Source organism: Homo sapiens, chromosome 1 (genome assembly GCF_000001405.40).
Source record: "Homo sapiens chromosome 1, GRCh38.p14 Primary Assembly".
Lineage (NCBI taxonomy): Eukaryota > Metazoa > Chordata > Mammalia > Primates > Hominidae > Homo > Homo sapiens.
The window spans coordinates 23,410,850-23,430,313 of NC_000001.11; the positions used below are offsets into that span (position 1 = coordinate 23,410,850).

The following is a 19,464-nucleotide window of genomic DNA, read 5'->3' on the forward strand; positions in this document are numbered from 1 at the left end:
TTACAGGTACTTCATCAGTTTGTAAGGCATGAGTCCAAAACAGCTAGCAGTTTGGTTCTTGAAAGATCCCTGAATTGTATGCAGTTACTTGGACAAGTGGGTTAGGACCTTATCATGAGACAGATGGAAGGAAATACTCCAGCACAATATTTTCTCTAGCAACAAATGAGATGTGGTGATCAGGGGACAGGAAAGTGTACCAAATGGGTGATGTCTGTCAAGATGACATGGCACAGAATATCAGCATTCTAGCCAGGCCCTGGAGATGTGGCACATCAGTGAAAAAGGGGTCTGGAATTTATGTTTATTTTTATTTATTTATTTTGAGATGGAGTCTCAATCTGTCACCCAGGCTGGAGTGCAGGGGCACCATCTTGGCTCACTGCAACCTCCATCCCCTGGGTTCAAGAGATTCCCATGCCTCAGCCTCCCGAGTAGCTGGGATTACAGGCACGCGCCACCATTCCCGGCTAATTTTTTGTATTTTTAGTAGAGATGGGGTTTTGCCATGTTGGCCAGGCTGGTCTCGAACTTCTGACCTCAAGTGATCTGCCTGCCTTGGCCTCCCAAAGTGCTGGGATTACAAGCATGAGTCACTGCACCCAGCCAGAGGTCTCGAATTTATGCAGAAGAAAAAGTAGACTATGGTGAATACACGGATAAAAATAATGGGAGGCGACAAGCAACAACAATCATAGTGAGGCAGAAATTTAAAAATAAATATGCATTCATTCACCCCAAGAAAAGTAACAGGCAAGGCAAGGGTTAAAAAGAAAAGAACAGGTTTTCCTCTGCCTAGCAAGCTCACTTCAAGGACAGTTATAAGATAATGCTGTTTGGGAAACCAAGGCCAAAGGAATGGGCTCCAGACACCCCTCCCCTCCAGAGCAAGGTTGAAGGAAAAAAAGAGAGAAAGACAAATTCCTTTACTATTACTCCTTTCCCTGACTTCTTAAGCATGACTATGTTTTACAAATGTCTGTATTTAGCCAGTTCTTGTTTTTCTTTCAATGCAGCTACAAGGCTGCCAGCTATGCAAGGCCACAAGTTATGCTATGCTATAGATTATGTGACCTATCATATGATTAACTGCTTTTGTTTTGCTTCTGTAAGCCTGCTTGTAAAAACCCCGCTCTGTCTTTGCTAAAATGCTCAGCTGTTTAGATACGAATCCACTGAGCCGGTGCATACCTTAAATAAACAACCCTCCTGCTCTCCTATTGGTCTCTCTGGTCCTCAGTTTCCTGCAATGATAGCTGATAGTAGGATATTTCTGAGTGACCAGACAAAGGAGAAGGCATAGAATGGGTGATTCTTCTTCGGCCATTGTTTGCTACAGTCTCATTTCCAAATCACGTATAATCTTTATAGTTCCTAAGGACAAAAATTCAAATACTGTTTTATATTTAAAAAAATAATTTGCACCCATAGTCCCAGCTACTCAGGAGGCTGAGGTGAGAGGATCACTTGAGCCTAGGAGTTGCAGGCTGCAGTGAGCTGTGATTGCGCCACTGCACTCCAGCCTGGGCAACATGGTGAGACTCTGTCTCAAAAAAAAAAAAAAAAAAAATGGCCGGGCATGGTGGCTCACACCTGTAATCCCAGCACTTTGGGAGGCTGAGGTGGGCGGATCACTTGAGGTCAGGAGTTCGAGACCAGCCTGAGCAACATGGAGAAACCCCTTCTCTACTAAAAAAAAAATACAAAAATTAGCTGGGCATGGAGGCACATGCCTGTAATCCCAGCTACTCGGGAGGCTGAGGCAGAAGAATCACTTGAACCTGGGAGGCGGAGGTTGCTGTGAGCTGAGATCGTGCCATTGCACTCCAGCCTGGGCAACAAGAGTGAAACTCCATCTCAAAAAAAAAAAAATTGTACAGTCTGCCTAAAGGAATGGAAAAATTATGTATGTAGTTAAACCAGGCCTGGGAGAGGAGAGGAAGAAAAATAAAAGCTGCTTAATTTGTCTGATGTGCACAAATATTTCCCATGCTTATTCTAAGTTTCACTAATGTGGTTACAGTGTTTGTATAATGAATTATCATTAAGAAAACTAAAAAGGAAGGAAATTAATTAACTGAGCTGAAATAGGACCCCCGACAACTGGCTTCTCCCAGCAGAATGAGGAGATACCTCTCCATTTTCTGCTCAGCACCAGCGACAGCTTCATTTCTGAGCCCCATGGCTGTGAAAAGTGAGTGGGCATAACAATTTAGTGTCCCAGGAAAATGTATAGTGCATTTCAAATTTTATTAACAAAATATAAATATAAATGTACATATGAATGTTCTTTTTTTCTTTTTTTTTAGACTGAGTCTCACTCCTCACCCAGGCTGGAGTGCAGTAGTGCGATCTCGGCTCACTGCAACCTCCTCCTCCCAGGCTCAAGTGATCCTCCCACCTCAGCCTCCCAAGTGGCTGAGAACACAGGTGCACGCCACCACGCCCGGCTAATTTTTTTTTACTTTTAATAGAGATAGGGTTTCGCCATTGGTCTCTAACTCCTGAGCTCAAGTAATCCACCTGCCTCCACCTCCCAAAGTGCTGGGATTACAAGCATGAGCCACTTTGCCCAGCCCATATGTATGTTCTTTTTGTTTTAAAGACAGAATCTCGCTCTGTCATCCAGGCTGGAGTGCAGTGGGGTGATCTTGGCTCACTGCAACCTCAGCCTCCCAAATTCAAGCGATCCTCCTGCCTCAGCCTCCCAAGTAGCTGGGATTACAGGTACCCACTACCATGCCCAGCTAATATTTGTATTTTTAGTAGAGACAGGGTTTCACCATGTAGGCCAGGCTGGTCTTGAACTCCTGACCTCAAGTGATCTGCCCGCCTTGGCCTCCCAAAGTGCTGGGATTAAGGGCGTGAGCCACTGAGCCTGGCCTGGCCTGTATGTTCTTAAAAAACTACAAAGATATACATTAAAATGTTAACAATGGTTATTTCTGTTATTTTCTTCTTGTGCTTGATTTTCTAAACTTTTTACACTAAACACACCTTGCTACTGAAATGAATACATTTATGTACATGAAAAGGTTACAAAATAGTATACAGAGTGTAATTCAATTTTATTAAAACAAATAGGTATTTTATACCTATTTATAGGTAGTAATGCATAGGAATAGTCTAGCAGGATGTATATATATATATATATATATATAAATTTTATATGTATATATACACACAATTATATGTGAGTGCTTGTTTCTAGATAATAAATGATATTTTATTTTACTTTATTTTATTTTATTTTTTGAGACAGAGTCTCATTCTGTAGCACAGGCTGGCGTGCAGTGGCACGCTCTCAGCTCACTGAAACCTCCGCCTCCTGGGTCCCGGTTCAAACAATTCTCCTCCTCAGCCTCCCAAGTAGCTGGAATTACAGGCATGTACCACCATGCCCAGCTAATTTTTGTATATTTGGTAGAGATGGGGTTTCACCATGTTGGCCAGGCTGGTCTCGAACTCCTGACCTCATGATCTGCCCGCCTCAGCCTCCCAAAGTGCTAGGATTATAGGCATGAGCCACCGTGCCTGGCCCTTATCTTTTGTTTTGTTTTGTTTTGTTTTTAAGACGGAGTCTAGTTCTGTCGCCCAGGCTGGAGTGCAGTGGCACGATCTTGGCTCACTGACACTTCTGCCTCCTGGGTTCAAGTGATTTCCTGCCTCAGTCTCCTGAGTAGCTGGGATTACGGGGCACCCGCCAACAGGCCCAGCTAATTTTTGTATTTTTAGTAGAGACAGGGTTTCACTGGGTTGGCCAGGCTTGTCTTGAACTCCTGACCTTGTGATCCACCTGCCTCAGCCTCCCAAAGTGCTGAAATTACAAGCATGAGACACTGCACCCGGCCTATTTTCTTATTTATTTGTATTTTTAAAACTTTCTACAATGAGCAAGTAATTATCTGTATTATAAAAAATACAAAATCGCTAAACTAAGACAACTAAAATATAATTAAAGACTATTACAAATAAAACATTTTATTTTTAAGAAGAAAGAACGGAGAAAATGATGTCTGTGTTTCAGGCCATAATACTGAGTCTCAGAGAAGAAGGCCATAAGTGACAAGTTCAGCCCAGAACCTGGCTTTCTGCTTTTTCATTGTTACCTCTCCTACACCTGTTGTTCTCATACAGGCCTTTAAAAGAAATCCCTTTACTGTTCTTTTTTTTTTTTTTTTTTTTTTTTTTTTAAACAGAGTCTCACTCTGTTGTCCACGCTTGAGTGCAGTGGCGGGATCTCAGCTCACTGCAACCTCTGCTCCCGGGTTCAAGTGATTCTCCCGCCTCAGCCTCCTGAGTGGCTGGGACTACAGGCGTGCACCACTACCCCTGGTTAATTTTTGTATTTTTAGTAGAGACGGGGTTTCACCATCTTGGCCAGGCTGGTCTCGAACTCCTGACCTCAGGTGATCCACCCACCTCGGCCTCCCAAAGCGCTGGGATTACAGGCATGGGCCACTGCGCCCAGCCTCTTTACTGTTCATTCAGTGGGGCTTGGGGATGGAGCAAACAAAAACAAAAACTGCATGTGTTCAGGCTGCCACTTTTACCTGGATGCCTACACTCCCCATGTGACAGATTAGTCCCAAATCCCATTTGGTCCCTCCCCAGTAGTTCAGCCTCTAGTCCTTCAACTTCATCTCATAAGAGCTCTCCTGCTCCTGGTCCTTCATTTGCCAAGGTTCTCATAACCACACAGGTGCTCCAGACATGGCCAGACCAGCCAGGGCATGAACAGGAGGTAATCCACAGGGCAGGGGACCATGCTGCTACAAATGGGCTAGCAGTATTCAGTAAATGTTCACTCCGTGCTAGGCACTGTGGAGATGGTCAGGGATTCCCCGAGCCAAACTTCTAACCCCTTTGGGAAAAGAAAACACACTCGTGTGAAAAGTTAGATGCCAATTAGGGTTTTTCCAAGTAGGATACACTTGCAAAATGAGCAATGGAAAGGAACAGAACATAGAAAATGTGACAAAACCATTTCACAGGCATTACCTTTTAAAAAGCAGGCTATTAAAATTGGGGATGACTATAGAAAACAAGTCAGAGAACAGAAAGAAAAGCCATACACTAACTCATCAAGAGTGATTGTCTTTGGGTGGTGGGAATGTGGGTGATTTTTTTTTCTACTTTTCTACATTTTCCTTTTTTTTTTTTTTTTTTTTTGTGAGACGGAGTTTCGCTCTTATTGCCCAGGCTGGAGTGCAATGGTGCAATCTTGGCTCACTGCAACCTCCGACTTCCAGGTTCAAGTGATTCTCCTGCCTCAGCCTCCCGAGTAGCTGGGATTACAGGCATGTGCCACCACACCCAGCTAATTTTGTATTTTTAGTAGAGATGGGATTTCTCCATGTTGGTCAGGCTGGTCTCGAACTCCCAACCTCAAGTGATCCGCCCACCTCGGCCTCCCAAAGTGCTGGGATTACAGGGGTGAGATACCGTACCCGGCCTTCCATTATTTTCTACAACAGATTTTTATCACTCTTATTTGTTTAGTTTTTAAAAGCACTATTATTATTTTTTGTTTCAAAAGCAGTACAGGATCATTGTGAAAAAACCCAACAATTCAGATTTAAAATTTTTATTGTATAATACAGAAAGTAGAGATCCTTTTAATTTATAATATATGTCTTGGTTTTTGTTTGTTTGTTTTTGAGACAGGTTCTTGCTCTGTTGCTCAGGCTGGAGTGCAGTGGCGCAATCTCAGCTCACTGCAACCTCCATCTCCCGGGCACAAGCGATTCTCCCACCTCAGCCTCCAGAGTAGTTAGGATTACAGGTGTGCGCTACCATGCCTGGCTAATTTTTGTATTTTTTGTAGAGGCGGAGTTTTGCCATGTTGCCCAGGCTTGTCTCAAACTCGTGGGCTCAAGTGATCCTCCCGCCTCAGCCTCCCAAAGTGCTGGGATTACATGTGTGAGCCACTGCGCCAGGTGCAATGAATCTTATAAGTGGCTATTGCCTTTGCTAGCATCTTGGAATCTTTGTCTTTGGGACTGTTACAAGATTCGGGATGTGAGGCTTATACCCGCTGTGGTCTTGTTTCCCCGCACCTAGGCTGTTGCCTGGGTGGGCCAGAGAAGAGCTCTAGACTGCCGTGCGGTCTCCTATGGGAACTCTCTGTAGAGAAATGCTGGAGGCCCTCCCGCAGACGCACTCTTTCCTGTCCCTGCATCCTTCTAGGCAAAGCCAGTGCCATTTATGTCCTATTTGGGTCTTGTGAGTCTAACATCTGGTTGAGCCAAAGAAGACCCCCAGAGGGGGCACTGCAGGAGATAATACCAATATCTTCCTCCCCAGGATGAAAGGTTTAAATGAGATAATATACACTGAGTTGCTGTCAGAGGACGTGACAAGTGTCAGCTCCCTTCTCTCCATCCCAAAAAAGAATACCTGGTTTTGGGGTCTTCTCGTTTTTTCCTTGGTGGAGAAAGGCCTGCTTCTGGCTTCCAGTCTGAACACTCAAGCCCTTTTTCCTTCTTCTTTGCCTTTTCTCTTTCCTCTCCTTTTTCTCCTTTTGGGGGTCCAGGGGAGTCTGAAAACAAAAGGGTGGCATTGTCCCTCAGCTAAGCTCTGTCTCAGCAGAACCCAGCATGACTTAGTGGGGAGAGAGCAAAGGGCAGGGACGAGGACAGCTGCACACACACTCCCAACACACACACAAACACATTTACACACAAATGCACAAACAACAGGAACGTGTGTACAAATACACAGTCTCACATGGGGACATTAATACATTGGCAAACACATCTCTGCACATATTAAGACAAATGTGTGCATGTAGACATGTACTATATAGACAAATGCATGAGAGCACAAACACGTAAGTGGCACATGTACACAAAACTCACAAGTCTACAAATCTTGCACTTGTGTACACAAACATTGGCAGTCCCCCACTAGCTACCTCCCGGATCCAGAGGCCATCTGTCACTGATTAAGTCACTCAACAGACATACACTGAGTGCTGGCTATGAGCCAGGCCCAGTCCTGTCCCAAGTGCTAGGAGAAAAACAGGGCTCAAGACAACCTTGTCCTCTCTCACCTAGCAGCCGCTTCCAGTTTTTGATAAGGACTTTGGCCAAGGACACCACCTCCTTGTCTGAGCAGTGCTTGCGGACCCCATTAACAGCAACTCCAATCCTGGTTGTCTGCAAAGTGAGAGGGTTAAGGCATAATCTGGGAATGGATACACAGGAATGGCTGCCATCATTGGCAGATCCTGCCCCAGCTCTACCACCACCTCCCCTTCCAACCTGGACCCCCAGAGTCCTAGCCCTGACTCCTGGCTGAGGTCAGAACCCCACTACTGTAACTAAGGCCCTGCTCTGCACGAGGCCGAGGGCCCAGGGCTAAGCCTGACATGGAGGATATCTGTAGCTTTGGTGAAACCTGAACCTAGGGTTGGGGGTGGCACTTGGCTGACTGTCAGGACCCCTCCCATTCCCAACCCTCTAGTGTCTATTTTTTTGAGATGGAGTCTCGCTATGTTGCCCAGGCTGGAGTGCAGTGGTGCAATCTCAGCTCACTGCAACCTCCACCTCCCAGGTTCAAGCGATTCTCGTGCCTCAGCCTCCTGAGTAGCTGGGATTATAGGTGTGCATCATCGTGCCCAGCTAATTTTTGTATCTTTAGTAGAAACGGGGTTTCACCATGTTGGCCAGGCTGGTCTCGAACTCCTGACCTCAGGTGATCTGCCTGCCTCGGCCTCCCAAAGTGATGGGATTACAGGTATGAGCCACCGTGGCCAGCTCACTCTAGTGTCTTTGAGCTCCAGTTTCAACTGAGACAGCAGCTCCGGCTATGAGACCTTGCATCTGTCTGTGCTGATTTTTCAGGGCCAGGAGCTTTTGGTAAATCTGGGGACTTTAAGGGCTACACAGGGATTTTAAATGGGGGCTTTTCCCTCTCCCTGGATCATTGGCCTCTTGGATCCCACAGGCCCAGGGCCTTGGGAATTGGGGTATTCAAGAAAAGCGAACCAGTCTTGCTCCAAGGCCCAGAGGTCCCCTACACCTAGAAGATACCCTCTCCGCCCCCGAGATGCCCCTGTGTCCCCCTCAGTCCCTCCCTGGGAGGTCTCCACCTCAAGATCCCCTCCCCACAGGCCCCCCTCAGAAATTCCTCCCAGACTCCACCTTCCCCCACCAGGGGTCTTTCCCTCCCCCACCAGCTCTCCCCCCAGGCACTGTCCCAAGGCTTCCCACCCCCGCCCCACCTGTAGTAGCTGGATGGACATCTGGCAGCTGTGCAGCTTCTTCAGAAGGTCCAGGGCCCCTTCCTGTGGGAGGCCACAAGGTGAGGACTGGGGCCTGGGTCCTGACCAGGCTTCTCTGACTATTGTGTGGTCTTGGTACAGAGAGCAGGAGGATACAGACAGACATGTGGCCGAAGGACAGGCAAGGGGCAGAAGGAAGGAGAGAGACGAGAAACAATCTGTCCTAGGTGGTGCTCTAACTTCATCCCCCGCCACCTGCTGGGTTCAAACCCTCTGAGCCAGGCTCCTGACCTCCAGCCTTTGGTTCTGCTGTGCCTCTCCCCAGGAATGCCCTCCCCCTTCCCCATCTTTCCTCCCAAATGAATTCCTTCCTGGCTTATTGTTGCTCGTGTGCCTGTAGCGTCCTTCCCTTACCTCCCCACTGTGAACTTCGCAGGGTGAGGACTGGGAGCCTTTTAAAAAACAAAACAGAACAGTTTGGCCAGCATGGTGGCTCACACCTATAATTCCGGCACTTTGGGAGGCTGAGGTGGGCGGGTCACTTGAGGCCAGGAGTTCAAGACCAGCCTGGCCAACATGGTGAAGCCCCATCTCTATTAAAATACAAAAATTAGCCAGGCGTGGTGGCGCATGCCTGTAATCCCAGTTACTCAGGAGGCTGAGGCAGGAAAATCGCTTGAGCCCAGGAGATGGAGGTTACAGTGAGCCAAGATCACACCACTGCACTCCAGCCTGGGTGACAGAGCGAGACTCCAACTCGAACAAAACAAAACAAACAAAAAACAGCTTTTTTGAGGTATAATTCACATACAATAACTGCACACTTTGCAGTGTAAAATTTGATAAGTTTCAACATACGTGTACACCCATGGAACCCTCACCACAATCAAGATAAAAGCACAGCCACCAGCCCCAAAAGCTTCTTCCTGTCCCCTTTCTAATCCATCCCTCCCCATCCCCAATCCTAAACAACCACAATTCTGCCTTCTGTTACTATAGTTGACCTTGTATCTTTAAGGATTTTATGTAAAGAGTATGTAGGGCAAAAACCCTTTTTTATCTGGCTTATTTCGGCATAATGATTTTGGAGACTCATCCATGTTGTCTCGTGGATCAGTAGTTCCTTTTTATTACTGAGTGGTTTCCACTGTATGTATGTACCACAGTTTGCCTGGCATTTTTTGAGACAAGATCTCACTCTGTTGCCCAGGCTGGAGCGCAGTGGCACAATCACAGTTCACTGCAGCTTCGACTTTCCAGGCTCAGGTGATCCTCCCACCTCAGCCTCCCGAATAGCTGGGACCACAGGTATGCACCACCACATCTGGCTAATTTTTTGCATTGTTTCGTAGAGATAGGGTTTTGCCATGTTGCCCAAGCTGGTCTCAAACTTCTGGCCTCAAGTGATCCTCCTGCCTCGGCCTCCCAAAGTGCTGGGATTACAGGCGTGAGCCACCACACCCAGTCTACCACAATGTTTTAAATTCATTCACCGGTTGATGGGACTTATGGATAGGTTCCAGTTTGGGGCTGCTAGAAATAAAGCTTCTAGGTACATTCATTTCAAGTCTTTGTGTGAACAGGTACTTTAACTTCTCTCGGGTAAAGAGAACCGTTCTAATCTCTGAGAACTTAGGGCTCAGCAGAGAGTCCAGTGCTCCCTGAGTGGATGAACTTGTGCAGAACTAAAGCAGAAAGAAGGCAGGAGGCAGAAAAAGGCTTAGGTTTGAAAATCTGTGAGCTGCCAGGCCCTGGACACCCTCCGACCCATTTCAGCCTTCTCCTTTCCCCCAGCCCCTTCCTAGAAGCCATACCTGCCTGCTGTCCTGAGATCAGTTCCCTGGGGAGCACCAGGGGACGGTGTCCTGTATGTTCCTATCCTTGGCCCACAGTTCATGGTTCCAGCTGCCAATCCCCACCCTGGCAGGACCTGGACCATGTCCTAAGAGCTGCCCTCTGTCAGTCCTTAGCCTCCCTGAGAACTTGGGTTCACAGTAGGTTTTCAGAAGCGTGACCTGCAGATGTGTGTGTATGTGAACTTGGGGGTACACAACTCCAAGTGTAACATTAATTAAAGGCTTGCTATGTACTAGGCACTCTTCTAAGTTTTTTACCTGTATTATCTCATTTAACATTCACAATGGCCCTATCGGGTAGGTCCTGTGTATTATTCCCATTCTTACAGAATTATTATCCTGTGTTCACCAAAGAGCAATCCAAGAAAGAGAGAGGTTAAATAATTTTCTCAAGGTCACATGCTTTATAAGGAGCCAAGTTGGGATTCAAACTCAGTCCTTTTGGGCTCTAACCACTATACAAATTGTGTTAGCATGGGCGCAGATCTGTCTAGACATACACAATCATGGAATATCAACATGGGTAAGTGCAGTGGTGTGCTGGCCAACGTTTAACAACCAGTTCTCAAGGAAAAAAAAAAAACTGACCTGTAGTGTTTGCCAATTTCTGTGGTGTAAACACTCATCCCATGGCCAATTTCAAGCTACCAACATGCTGTCACTGAACTGAAGGAAGTTTTGGGAGGAGACGTACACTACCATACCATTATATAATATTTCCACTGTACAGATAACAATAGAAGTAAATTATCTCTGACCATACATGACAGTACAATGTAGTAAAACAATCAGGAAGTGATTATTTTGGAGGATTCCTTACCTTTGTTTTTAATATAATTTATTTATTGTAAGCAGATAATGTAGTTTTTTGAAACAATTGCTGTGTTTAACCACCAGGTTGCAAAATTCCTGAAAACGCAACAATCTGTGTTAAGCCAGTTCCAGCTCTCCACTGGGTGTATGCCTCGTGTGTCACAGCTGTATAACTGGGTCATATTGGAGGAGAATAGCCATGAGCCTGGATTGTAGCTGGATAAACAAAGCCTTGTGCAAATGTTGCTGGGTGTATCTCTCTGAACATACAAATGGGTTCTGTAGCCAGTAGTATCTCTGGTCTAAGTGTGCAGCTGTGAATATGCAGCTCCGGGCACAGCTGTGTCTATTTGGCTTTGTGGGATGACGCCTGTGTTATAAGATCTGAATGTATAAATGTGGCTGTTTGCTAAGTCTGTAGCATTGCATGTCTGGGTGTAGCTGTGCTGCGTGCATACGTGTGTGGCTGTCTTTGTGTATCATTCTATAACTATAATGGTCAATGTGGGTCATATGGGTCAGTATGCTTGTCATGTTGGTGTCAGTAGCCGTGTCTCATACGCAGTTAGGTTCAGTTGCTTGTTTAACTACTGTGTTGTGGCCACATGTTATAGCTATGTGTGTGTATGTAGCTGTGACCGTAGGCACTTGGTTGCATGTTTGAAGTTGCTTCTGTTAGTGCATGCTCAGAGGATGTGACAAAGCCTTAAGTGGCTGAGACTTCAGCAACCGGCAGTAAACCCCGGGCCTGAGCTGCAACGTGGAGGATCCGTCTTATTACAGGAAGTATGTCCTCCTCTGCCTAACCACTGCTGGGCGGGTCCACTTTCACTCCCAGAGCAGGCCCCACCTTTCTCGGCCAGACGCCCAGAGCTCCATGCCCACCCAGACACTGCCGAGAGCCCAGGCGCAGACGTGGCTGTAAACTGGCTCCATGCTGCAGGGACCCTGCGGCCAGACTTGCATCTTTTCAGGGGACAGCTCTGGGCACTTCCACAGGAATCCATCTCCAAAAGACACCATTTCCTCTTCCCATTTCACAGAAGAGGAAACTCGAGGTCCAGAAAGGGAAGGTTGAGTGGCTTTTGCCTAGGGCCATAAAAGGAGTGAGGGGGAGGCCAGGGCAGGTCCCGTCCTCTTCAGCCAGAGCTCTATCCCAAGCAGCCTGCCTCTCCTCCGGTCTCTAGGCGTCCCCACCCTACCCCTCTTACCCAGGGGCCCAGAATTTCTTTCCTGGCCCAAGCTTGGGGGTCAGTAAGGAGCTGGGCTGGGATAACCCGTCTATTTGAACTGGAATTTGGCTCAGAATCCCTGGCTGCGCTCTGCCAACCCCAGCTGAGAAAATGCTCCCCCAAGACTTGTGGCTCAGTTGTACTGAGGATTGTGGAGGAGTCTGGAACGGGGAGTGCATGGAGGTTGGGAGTGTCAGGTGAGAAGCTCCCAGCACTCTGCAGGTTTGTGCTGTATCTTTCTGTGTTGGACCTGGCTGCGTAGAAGCAGGTCTTGTTCGCCAGTTCTTAGCAAGCACAGGTCTGAGTCCTACTAAGGGCTTTACATCTCTGTCTCATCTCTCCAATCCTCACCGCTGCCAGCAGAGACAAGAATCCAGTGACATCCCTTCTCCAGAGGCAGATAATCTCATCTCTTTCTTACAGATGAAGAAACTGAGGCTCTGGCCTTTATATGGACACCAACTCATGACTGCCCAGTGTCCACTCTAGGGCTCCCTGCCACTTCATGGTTCCAGTGACCCTTCCCTGGGCCTTGGCTACTCTTCCTGGCTCTAAAACTTCCCTTAGTGTCTCTTCCTTTCCCAGGCTCCTAAGTGTCCTGGAAATGCAGGTGGCTGCAGCACATGGCTACGGATGGTGGGAGGAAGAGGACCCTGGAACAGGAACGGGAGGTGGGAAGGGCATGCTCACCAGGCTCCCTTTTTTTCCCTCCCAGGGTGAGCGCAGGCCCTCCAGGACCCAAGGCCAAATTTGCTCTGGCCAGGCGACCAGTCGGCCGCCAGCCCCAGGCAAAGATCACGGGGAAGATCAAACATTAACTTCCAGCTGGGTCTGCGCTCTGGCCAGGACCCTCCGGTAGGGCTGTCAGCCCTGCTCCCAACCTCCCGCCGAGCCCGCTCCTCCCTCCGCCCTCGCCCTCGCTGCACAGGCCTCCAGCCCGGCCCCCTTCCCCCGCCCCGCGGGCCCCCGCACCTGTTCGGCCCCCGCCCGTCCGGGCCGCACCCCAAGGCCAAGGAAAGGGAAAATTGCCAAAAGAACCGCTCCTGACGCACCAAGCGGTGGGGTCGCAGGATCCACGGCCTTTTACTTCTCTCCCGCAGACCCACTCCGGGGTGCAGGGATGCAGCTCAGTACCCCCGTCAGCCCAAGTTTCTCTGCCACTTCTCGGGCCACCCGGATTTGCCCCCCGCCCCGCCCCCGCCATCGCCGCCGCTCCCCGGGCTTTGCACACGCCAAGCCCTGGGACTCCCAAAGTCCTTTCCCACGTCCAGCTCTCTTCGCCCGCTTTCCTGGGCCCTGCACTAGCTGCCCAGGGTGAACCCTACACGTCCAAAGGGACGTGCACAAGTCGCGCCTCCGGGACCCGCACGATCCCCCTGGCGTCCTGGGCCACGCACACGCCCACCTCGAGGTGCTCAGCAAGGGTCCCCAAGGGGCCTTGGGCCCTGCACCAGCCGCTCCTCCCTCGGGTCCCCGAGTCCCGTACGCGCCCCCATGGCGCCCCGCCAGTACGTCCCCACCCCGGAATCCGGGGCTTGCCCGCGCCTCCCGGGGGCGGGGGCCGTGGCCCAAACTCTGCAGCCTCACCGTGTTCTTCCTGGCCACCATCTTCTCCAGCTTTTTGGCGATCCTCAGCAGCTCCTCTTCCTGGCCCATGTTGGCCCGCGACGCCCGGCGGGGCGAGGGGCACAGGGGCAGCAGTAGGGCCTCGGGGGCAGGAGGCGCGAAGGCGGAGGGCGCGCAACCCGCGCGGGCCCCAAACACACACGACACACACGCCCGGCGGGGGCGGGGCTCTCCCCACCCCCACCCCCCCACCGCCCGCCTCCCAACTGTGCGGGGGAGGGGTGGCGGGCACTAAATATAGACTTCAAGGACTTGCCCGGGCACTGATTGCCCGCGCCGGCCGATCGGGCCTCAGGGGAGGGACGAGGCTGAGAGAGGGGACCCTCCAACTCCGGCCCTTCCAGGGGCGCCGGGGGACCGAAGAGAGATTTGGGAAGGAGGGCTCTCTGGCGAGCTGGGAGGCTGTGACCTGGCCACAGGCGGCGGTCGCGGCGCGGAGGGCGCCCGAGGGTGTCCCAGGGGCCCTGGGAAGCGTTCTGGGCTCCCGCGTCTCTGCACCGTTGCATCTCAAAGCGGGAGGACACAGTTCCGCGCCTATGCCCAAGTGGAGGCAACTCGGTGCGCTCGAATCCCGTGTGTGTGTGTGTGTGTGTGTGTGTGTGTGTGTGTGTGTGTGTGTGTAGATCACTAAATCCAGCTCTGCTTTAACCTGCACTCACTCCATCGTGCACACGGCCTGTGCATGCCACGTGTATCCAGGCTCCTGTTTGCCTCTGTCTACCTAAAACTTCCTTTGCTGGCTGTTTTGTTAGTAAGGCTTTGCATTTTTAACAAGCTCCTATGTGCTGGGGGTGCTGCTGGTCCCAGAACTACACTCTCGAGTAGTGAGAGCTTATCGGGGAGATTCTTTTTATTTTTTTGAGACAGGGTCTCCCTCTGTGGCTGAGGCCAGAGTGGAGTGGAGCAATCAGGCTCACTGCCTCGACTTCCCCAGCTCAAGTGATCCTTTCTGCCTCAGCCTCCTGAGTAGCTAGGACTACAGGCGTGAGCCATCCATCATGCCCAGCTAATTTTTTAATTTTTTGTAAAGACTAGGTCTTACTACGTTGCCCAGGCTGGTCTGGAACTCCTGGTCTCAAGCGATCCGCCTGCCTTGGCCTCCCAAAGTGCTGTAATTACAGATGAGATTCTTTTTTTTTTTTTTTGAGACGCAGTCTCGCACTGTCGCCCAGGCTGGAGTGCAGTGCCACGATCTCGGCTCACTGCAAGCTCTGCCTCCCGGGTTCACACCATTCTCCTGCCTCAGCCTCCTGAGTAGCTGGGACTACAGGCGCCCGCCACCACGCCCGGCCAATTTTTTTGTATTTTTAGTAGAGATGGGGTTTCACCATGTTATCCGGAATAGTCTCGATCTCCTGACCCCGTGATCTGCCTGCCTCGGCCTCCCAAAGTGCTGGGATTACAGGCGTGAGCCACCGCACCCCGCCGAGATTCATTCTTAAGTGCACCAAATTTTGAGAAATATTGATCCAGGTGCAAGGCTGCCAGGTCAGGCCAGTATCCCCTCAGTGGGGTTGGGTTTGGAAGTCATCTTAGTGGAGGGGTGGAAACACAATTGTGCCTATCTTCCCCAGCCATGCAGGGATCTGCCTTCCTGTGGAATGATCTCCAATGATCTTCAAGTATCTCCTGCAGACCCAGTTCTCTTGCTAAATAAGTGAGTTTAATGGACAGAAAATGATCTTCCTGTGATGGGGGTGGGGCTCAGGAACCTGGAGGGAAGGCATGAAAAGTGGTCCACAGTGTGTGGGAGCTGGGGTTGGGGTGTCGAGTGAAATCTCCTGATTTTCCTGAGAGAACCGCATTTCAGCTTGGGTCGCAGAGGCAGCTTGGTGTGGACACCTATCTTCTAATTGCTATGTGACGGGGATCAAGGTAGGACAGAGTGGGTTTTTTTCATCCATTCAACAAATACGTATTGAGTGTCCAAGCAATGAACAAGACAGACCCAGTCCCAGAAAGCTTGAGACTCAGTCTATGGGCAAGAGAAACCTTAAACAAAAACAGACATAGTCAATTAATGCATTTATCATAGCTGGGGTGAAGGGCAGGAAGCAGTGGAGGATAGCTTAAGGACACATTTGAGGGGACCTGCACTATTTAGGGTGTCAACTTCTCTGAAGAAACGAAGTTTAAACTTTGGGCTGAAGTACACAGTGGCCGTTGAGGGGAGGAGGAAGAGTGTTCACGGAAGAAAGGAAGAGGCATTCAACATATATTTATGGAGCACCTAATATGTGCCAGGTAGTTCTTGTTCTGGACATCCAGAGAGGAACAAAACAGTCCTCCCCTCTTGGAGTTCCAAATGTGCAAAGCTTAGGGATGGGAGGGTGCCTGGCCTGCCTGACAGTGTTGGAGGAACTGAAAAATTGGCGTGGCTGCAGCACAGAGGTGAGGAGTGTGGGGAGAGGCAGTGGGTGGGACCTGAGCATGCAGTGCCTGCCGGTCACATTTGGGAAGTTAGACTCTAATGGTTTGGGATTCTCTGGGAGGCCTTTTGGCCAATCCCAGCCAAGCCCTTCTGGGTTGAAGAGACTCAACCTCAGCAGCCTGAGGCTACTTAGGATTGCCTTATTAAAAAAAAGGCCAGGAGCAGTGGCTCATGCCTGTAATCCTAGCACTTTGGGAGGCCAAAGCAGGAGGATTGCTTGAAGCCAGGAGTTCAAGACTAGCCTGGGCAACAGAGAGAGACCTCGTCTCTACAAAATATTTTAAAAAGCTGGGCATGGTGGCGTGGGCCTATAGTCCCAGCTACTCGGAAGGCTGAGGCAGGAGGCTTGCCTGAGCCCAGGAGTTCAAGGTTACAGTGAGCTCTGATTGTGCCACTGTACTCCAGTATGGGAGACAGAGCCATCAAAAAAAAAAAAAAAAGAGAGAGAGAGAGATTTTTCTCAAACTTCCACCCAGTCACCACCCTGAGATGCGCGACATCAAAAAAAAGTTAAGACTCCTAGAATGTCAGGGTATGAAGGCCCCTAAGAAAACATGGAGTCCAACCTCTTTATTGTATAGATGGGAAGACCGAGGCCTAAAGAGGGTGATGATTCTCTCAGGGTTGGACCCTGTTGATACCATCATATCCCCTCTGCCTACCTGTCCACCCTACAGGTCACTGGAAGATAATTCCTGGACACACCTTGGACAGCTCCCCACATTTCTCTATTTGGAGCTTTGGGGTGGTAGGAAATTGATGCCCTCAGAAAGGACACCCCCAACCAGCAAGAAACCAGAGTTGGTGGAAAACATCATTTCTTCACTCTCGATGGGACAACCTGAAGGCATGTTCTAGTCAATACTCCTTCTCACAGGTCCCCAACAAGAGTTAGAGACAGAGTCTCGCTCTGTTGTTCAGGCTGGAGTGCAGTGGCGCCATCATGGCTCACTGCAGCCTTGAACTCCTGGGCTCAAGCAATTCTCCCACCCGAGTAGCTGGAGTATAGGTTCTCACCAACACGCACAGCTCTTTATCTTTGACTTTCTGTTTCATTTCTCTATTCCCTCATTATGCTTCCTGGGATCATTTCACAGATAAGCTACTTGCTCCCAAATCCTTGTCTCAGGGGCAGTCAACAGAGACAGTGGCAGAGGACCATGGGAGAGCTAGAATTTCAGGTCTCCAGACTCCTAGTCCAGTGCTCTTTCCAGGGTTTCTCAACCTTGGCACTATTAACATTTTGGACTGGATAATGCATTGCTAGGGAGGGTTGACCTATGCACCGTAGGATGTTTAGTAGCATCCCTGACCTTTGTCCACTAAATGCCACTAGCATCCTCCAGTTGGGAACAGTCAAAACTGTTTTCTGCTTTATCAGAAGTTCCCCGGGGCAAAACACTGTGGTTGCAAACCACTATTCCACATCAGGCCATCTCCCTTGCCAGGTCCAGAGAAAGAATTTCAAGCCCCAAGATTCCTTTCCCCTCCCTGTTGCTCTTTAGATCACATAAATGAAACCACTGGAAACTGACCCCCCAATCCTTTATTAGAGATGAGTGAAATAACAAGTCTGAGATGAATGAAACCAGACACTGGGGGCTCAAAAGACAACCCTGTTCCTGTGGGAACCACAGACCAGTCAGGTCTCCAGGGGAAACAGCACAGCCTCCCCAGCCAGGCAGCTGTGTTGGCCATTGGTGCTCTCTAGTCTCCCCTGCTTGGCTTGGCCCATTCCTGCCAGGGCCCAGCACCCAGCAACTGGCAAGTTGAGATGTTAGTGGTTGATGATGGCTTAGGTGTATCTGCTTTCTCATTGGGGCTGAGCAATGATAGAATTTCTAGGGCTGGGAAGCAGAACCCTTAAGTCTCTGCCCTCCCAATTCTATTACTCTCCCTTCTTTCTTTGCCTCTCCATTCCCTCAGACTAAAAGGCTCCTGAGTTGACCAAGAGAAAGAGAAGAGAAGTGGGCATCCATCAACCCTGACTATTCCTTTCCTTCCTGCTAAATCAAGGACACAGGCAAATGTGGGTGCATCTGACTCTACAATTTGGCTGGGGAATATAGGAGAATGCCTAGGGAAGGCTGTGCTGTCCCTCAAAAGGAGTGACATTCAGAATATTTTTATTTAACAGCCAGTACAGCATGCATGTTGACCAGCCAGAATGGATGTGATCTGTAGACAATTGTAATGGTCATATAGGTATAAACCAGCTGAGTCCAGAGCCATGCCCTGGAATCTGACCCTGCCTATTCCCAAGCCCAACCCTTAAGACCAGCTTTCCACCAAAGGACCACCCCTGCAGGGCCCTTGTCTTACTCGTGTGGTATCTGAAGTGCCTAACACAGGTCCAGACATAGAGTTGGAATTTAGTGAAGGAATATTAGACTAATAAATGGCTGGCTGAGAAGACAGTCCCTACTTGGCAGGGTCCCTGATCTGGAAGTCAGTGATGGAGGGCTCTCCTGCCCTTGTGAAGCCCCCAGACTGACGGGGGAAATAGAGTCTCGATCTGATGAGGGACTGAGAGTTCTGCAGCTGAAGCCAGCTCAGGAGCACTCAGATCCAGCCACAGGGCTCCCAGGCCCCTAGCGGGTAATGAGATAGGAAAGAACCGCCATCAGTCCTAACAGGGAAAGGCCATGTGTCCTTGGTAGAGGCATGGCCTGTGGCAGGAAGAAGGCCAGCTACAGAGGCACAAGGGACAGAGAGAGTGAGATCCAAGAGAACAAATGTCTCAGCTCCCCAGTTTTGTGAGCTCAAGTCCCAGCTCTGAACATTGGGGCCTAGCATGGGGCATGTGGGGGCCAGCAAGGAGCTAGTCTTGCAAAAGTTGCACAGAACTTGCTGGGAGACTCCCAGTCCTTGAGCCATCTCCTTCAGTGATGCCAACCTGCAGAAAGAAGGATGAAACTGACATTTTCAAAGCACCTGTAACATACCAGGTGTTCATCTCACTCAGTTTCACATCTGTCCTATTGTAGATAAATTAAATTATTCTCATTTTACAGACAAAGAAACTGAGGCTTGAGGAAGTGAAGCCACTTATCCAAAGTCTCCTTACTCTAAAGCCCAAGCTCTTGCTATCATACACACCACAATCACAGGCATCAATTAAATGCCATCTGATGGATACTTGGTTTTCAGGGCAATAGTGGAACCAGAATATGGACATAGATTTGTGTCTGCTGACTAACTCTGGTGGACTAAAGATGACGATTCCCCAGACAGAACCAGCTTTTGCCCCTGCCATCCTGACTCCCAACACAACCAATG

General features: G+C 49.5%; 2 protein-coding genes and 1 long non-coding RNA gene across 17 annotated transcripts in view, besides 1 other annotated feature; 1 reads left to right on the forward strand and 2 right to left on the reverse strand.

Annotated features, from left to right (window-relative positions):
* The window catches only part of TCEA3 (transcription elongation factor A3), a 43,840-nt gene extending 29,941 nt beyond the window's left edge, over window positions 1-13,899 (reverse strand). For 5 of the 7 annotated variants that reach the window (NM_003196.3, XM_011542053.4, XM_017002202.3 and 2 more), the window contains exons 1-4: window positions 13,716-13,899; window positions 8,228-8,290; window positions 7,055-7,160; window positions 6,400-6,541 (exon numbers count right to left, since the gene is read on the reverse strand). In NM_003196.3, coding sequence (NP_003187.1) covers window positions 6,400-6,541; window positions 7,055-7,160; window positions 8,228-8,290; window positions 13,716-13,784 — 380 coding nt within the window. In that variant the 5' untranslated portion in view covers window positions 13,785-13,899. Of the gene's footprint in view, window positions 1-6,399; window positions 6,542-7,054; window positions 7,161-8,227; window positions 8,359-13,715 lie in introns of all 7 variants that reach the window. The other 2 variants (XM_017002203.2, XM_017002201.2) reach the window with 2 other exon arrangements.
* Window positions 8,293-8,851: an enhancer, noted in NCBI's record as "NANOG hESC enhancer chr1:23745635-23746193 (GRCh37/hg19 assembly coordinates)". NCBI's record gives its function as "activates a minimal SCP1, AML or CMV promoter by ChIP-STARR-seq in naive H9 embryonic stem cells {active_cell/tissue: H9 hESC(naive)}" and the evidence as "EXISTENCE:reporter gene assay evidence [ECO:0000049][PMID:30033119]".
* Window positions 13,900-14,016: 117 nt separating the features above from the next.
* Window positions 14,017-18,134, forward strand: LOC124903875 (uncharacterized). The gene is made up of 3 exons (XR_007065535.1): window positions 14,017-14,312; window positions 15,329-15,411; window positions 16,863-18,134. It is a non-coding gene; the product is annotated as an uncharacterized LOC124903875 (long non-coding RNA).
* Window positions 17,714-19,464, reverse strand: part of ASAP3 (ArfGAP with SH3 domain, ankyrin repeat and PH domain 3) — a 56,069-nt gene continuing 54,318 nt past the window's right edge. For all 9 annotated transcript variants that reach the window (XM_017001687.1, XM_047424481.1, XM_017001688.3 and 6 more), the window contains one exon: window positions 17,714-19,081. In XM_017001687.1, coding sequence (XP_016857176.1) covers window positions 19,007-19,081 — 75 coding nt within the window. In that variant the 3' untranslated portion in view covers window positions 17,714-19,006. The remainder of the gene's footprint in view (window positions 19,082-19,464) is intronic.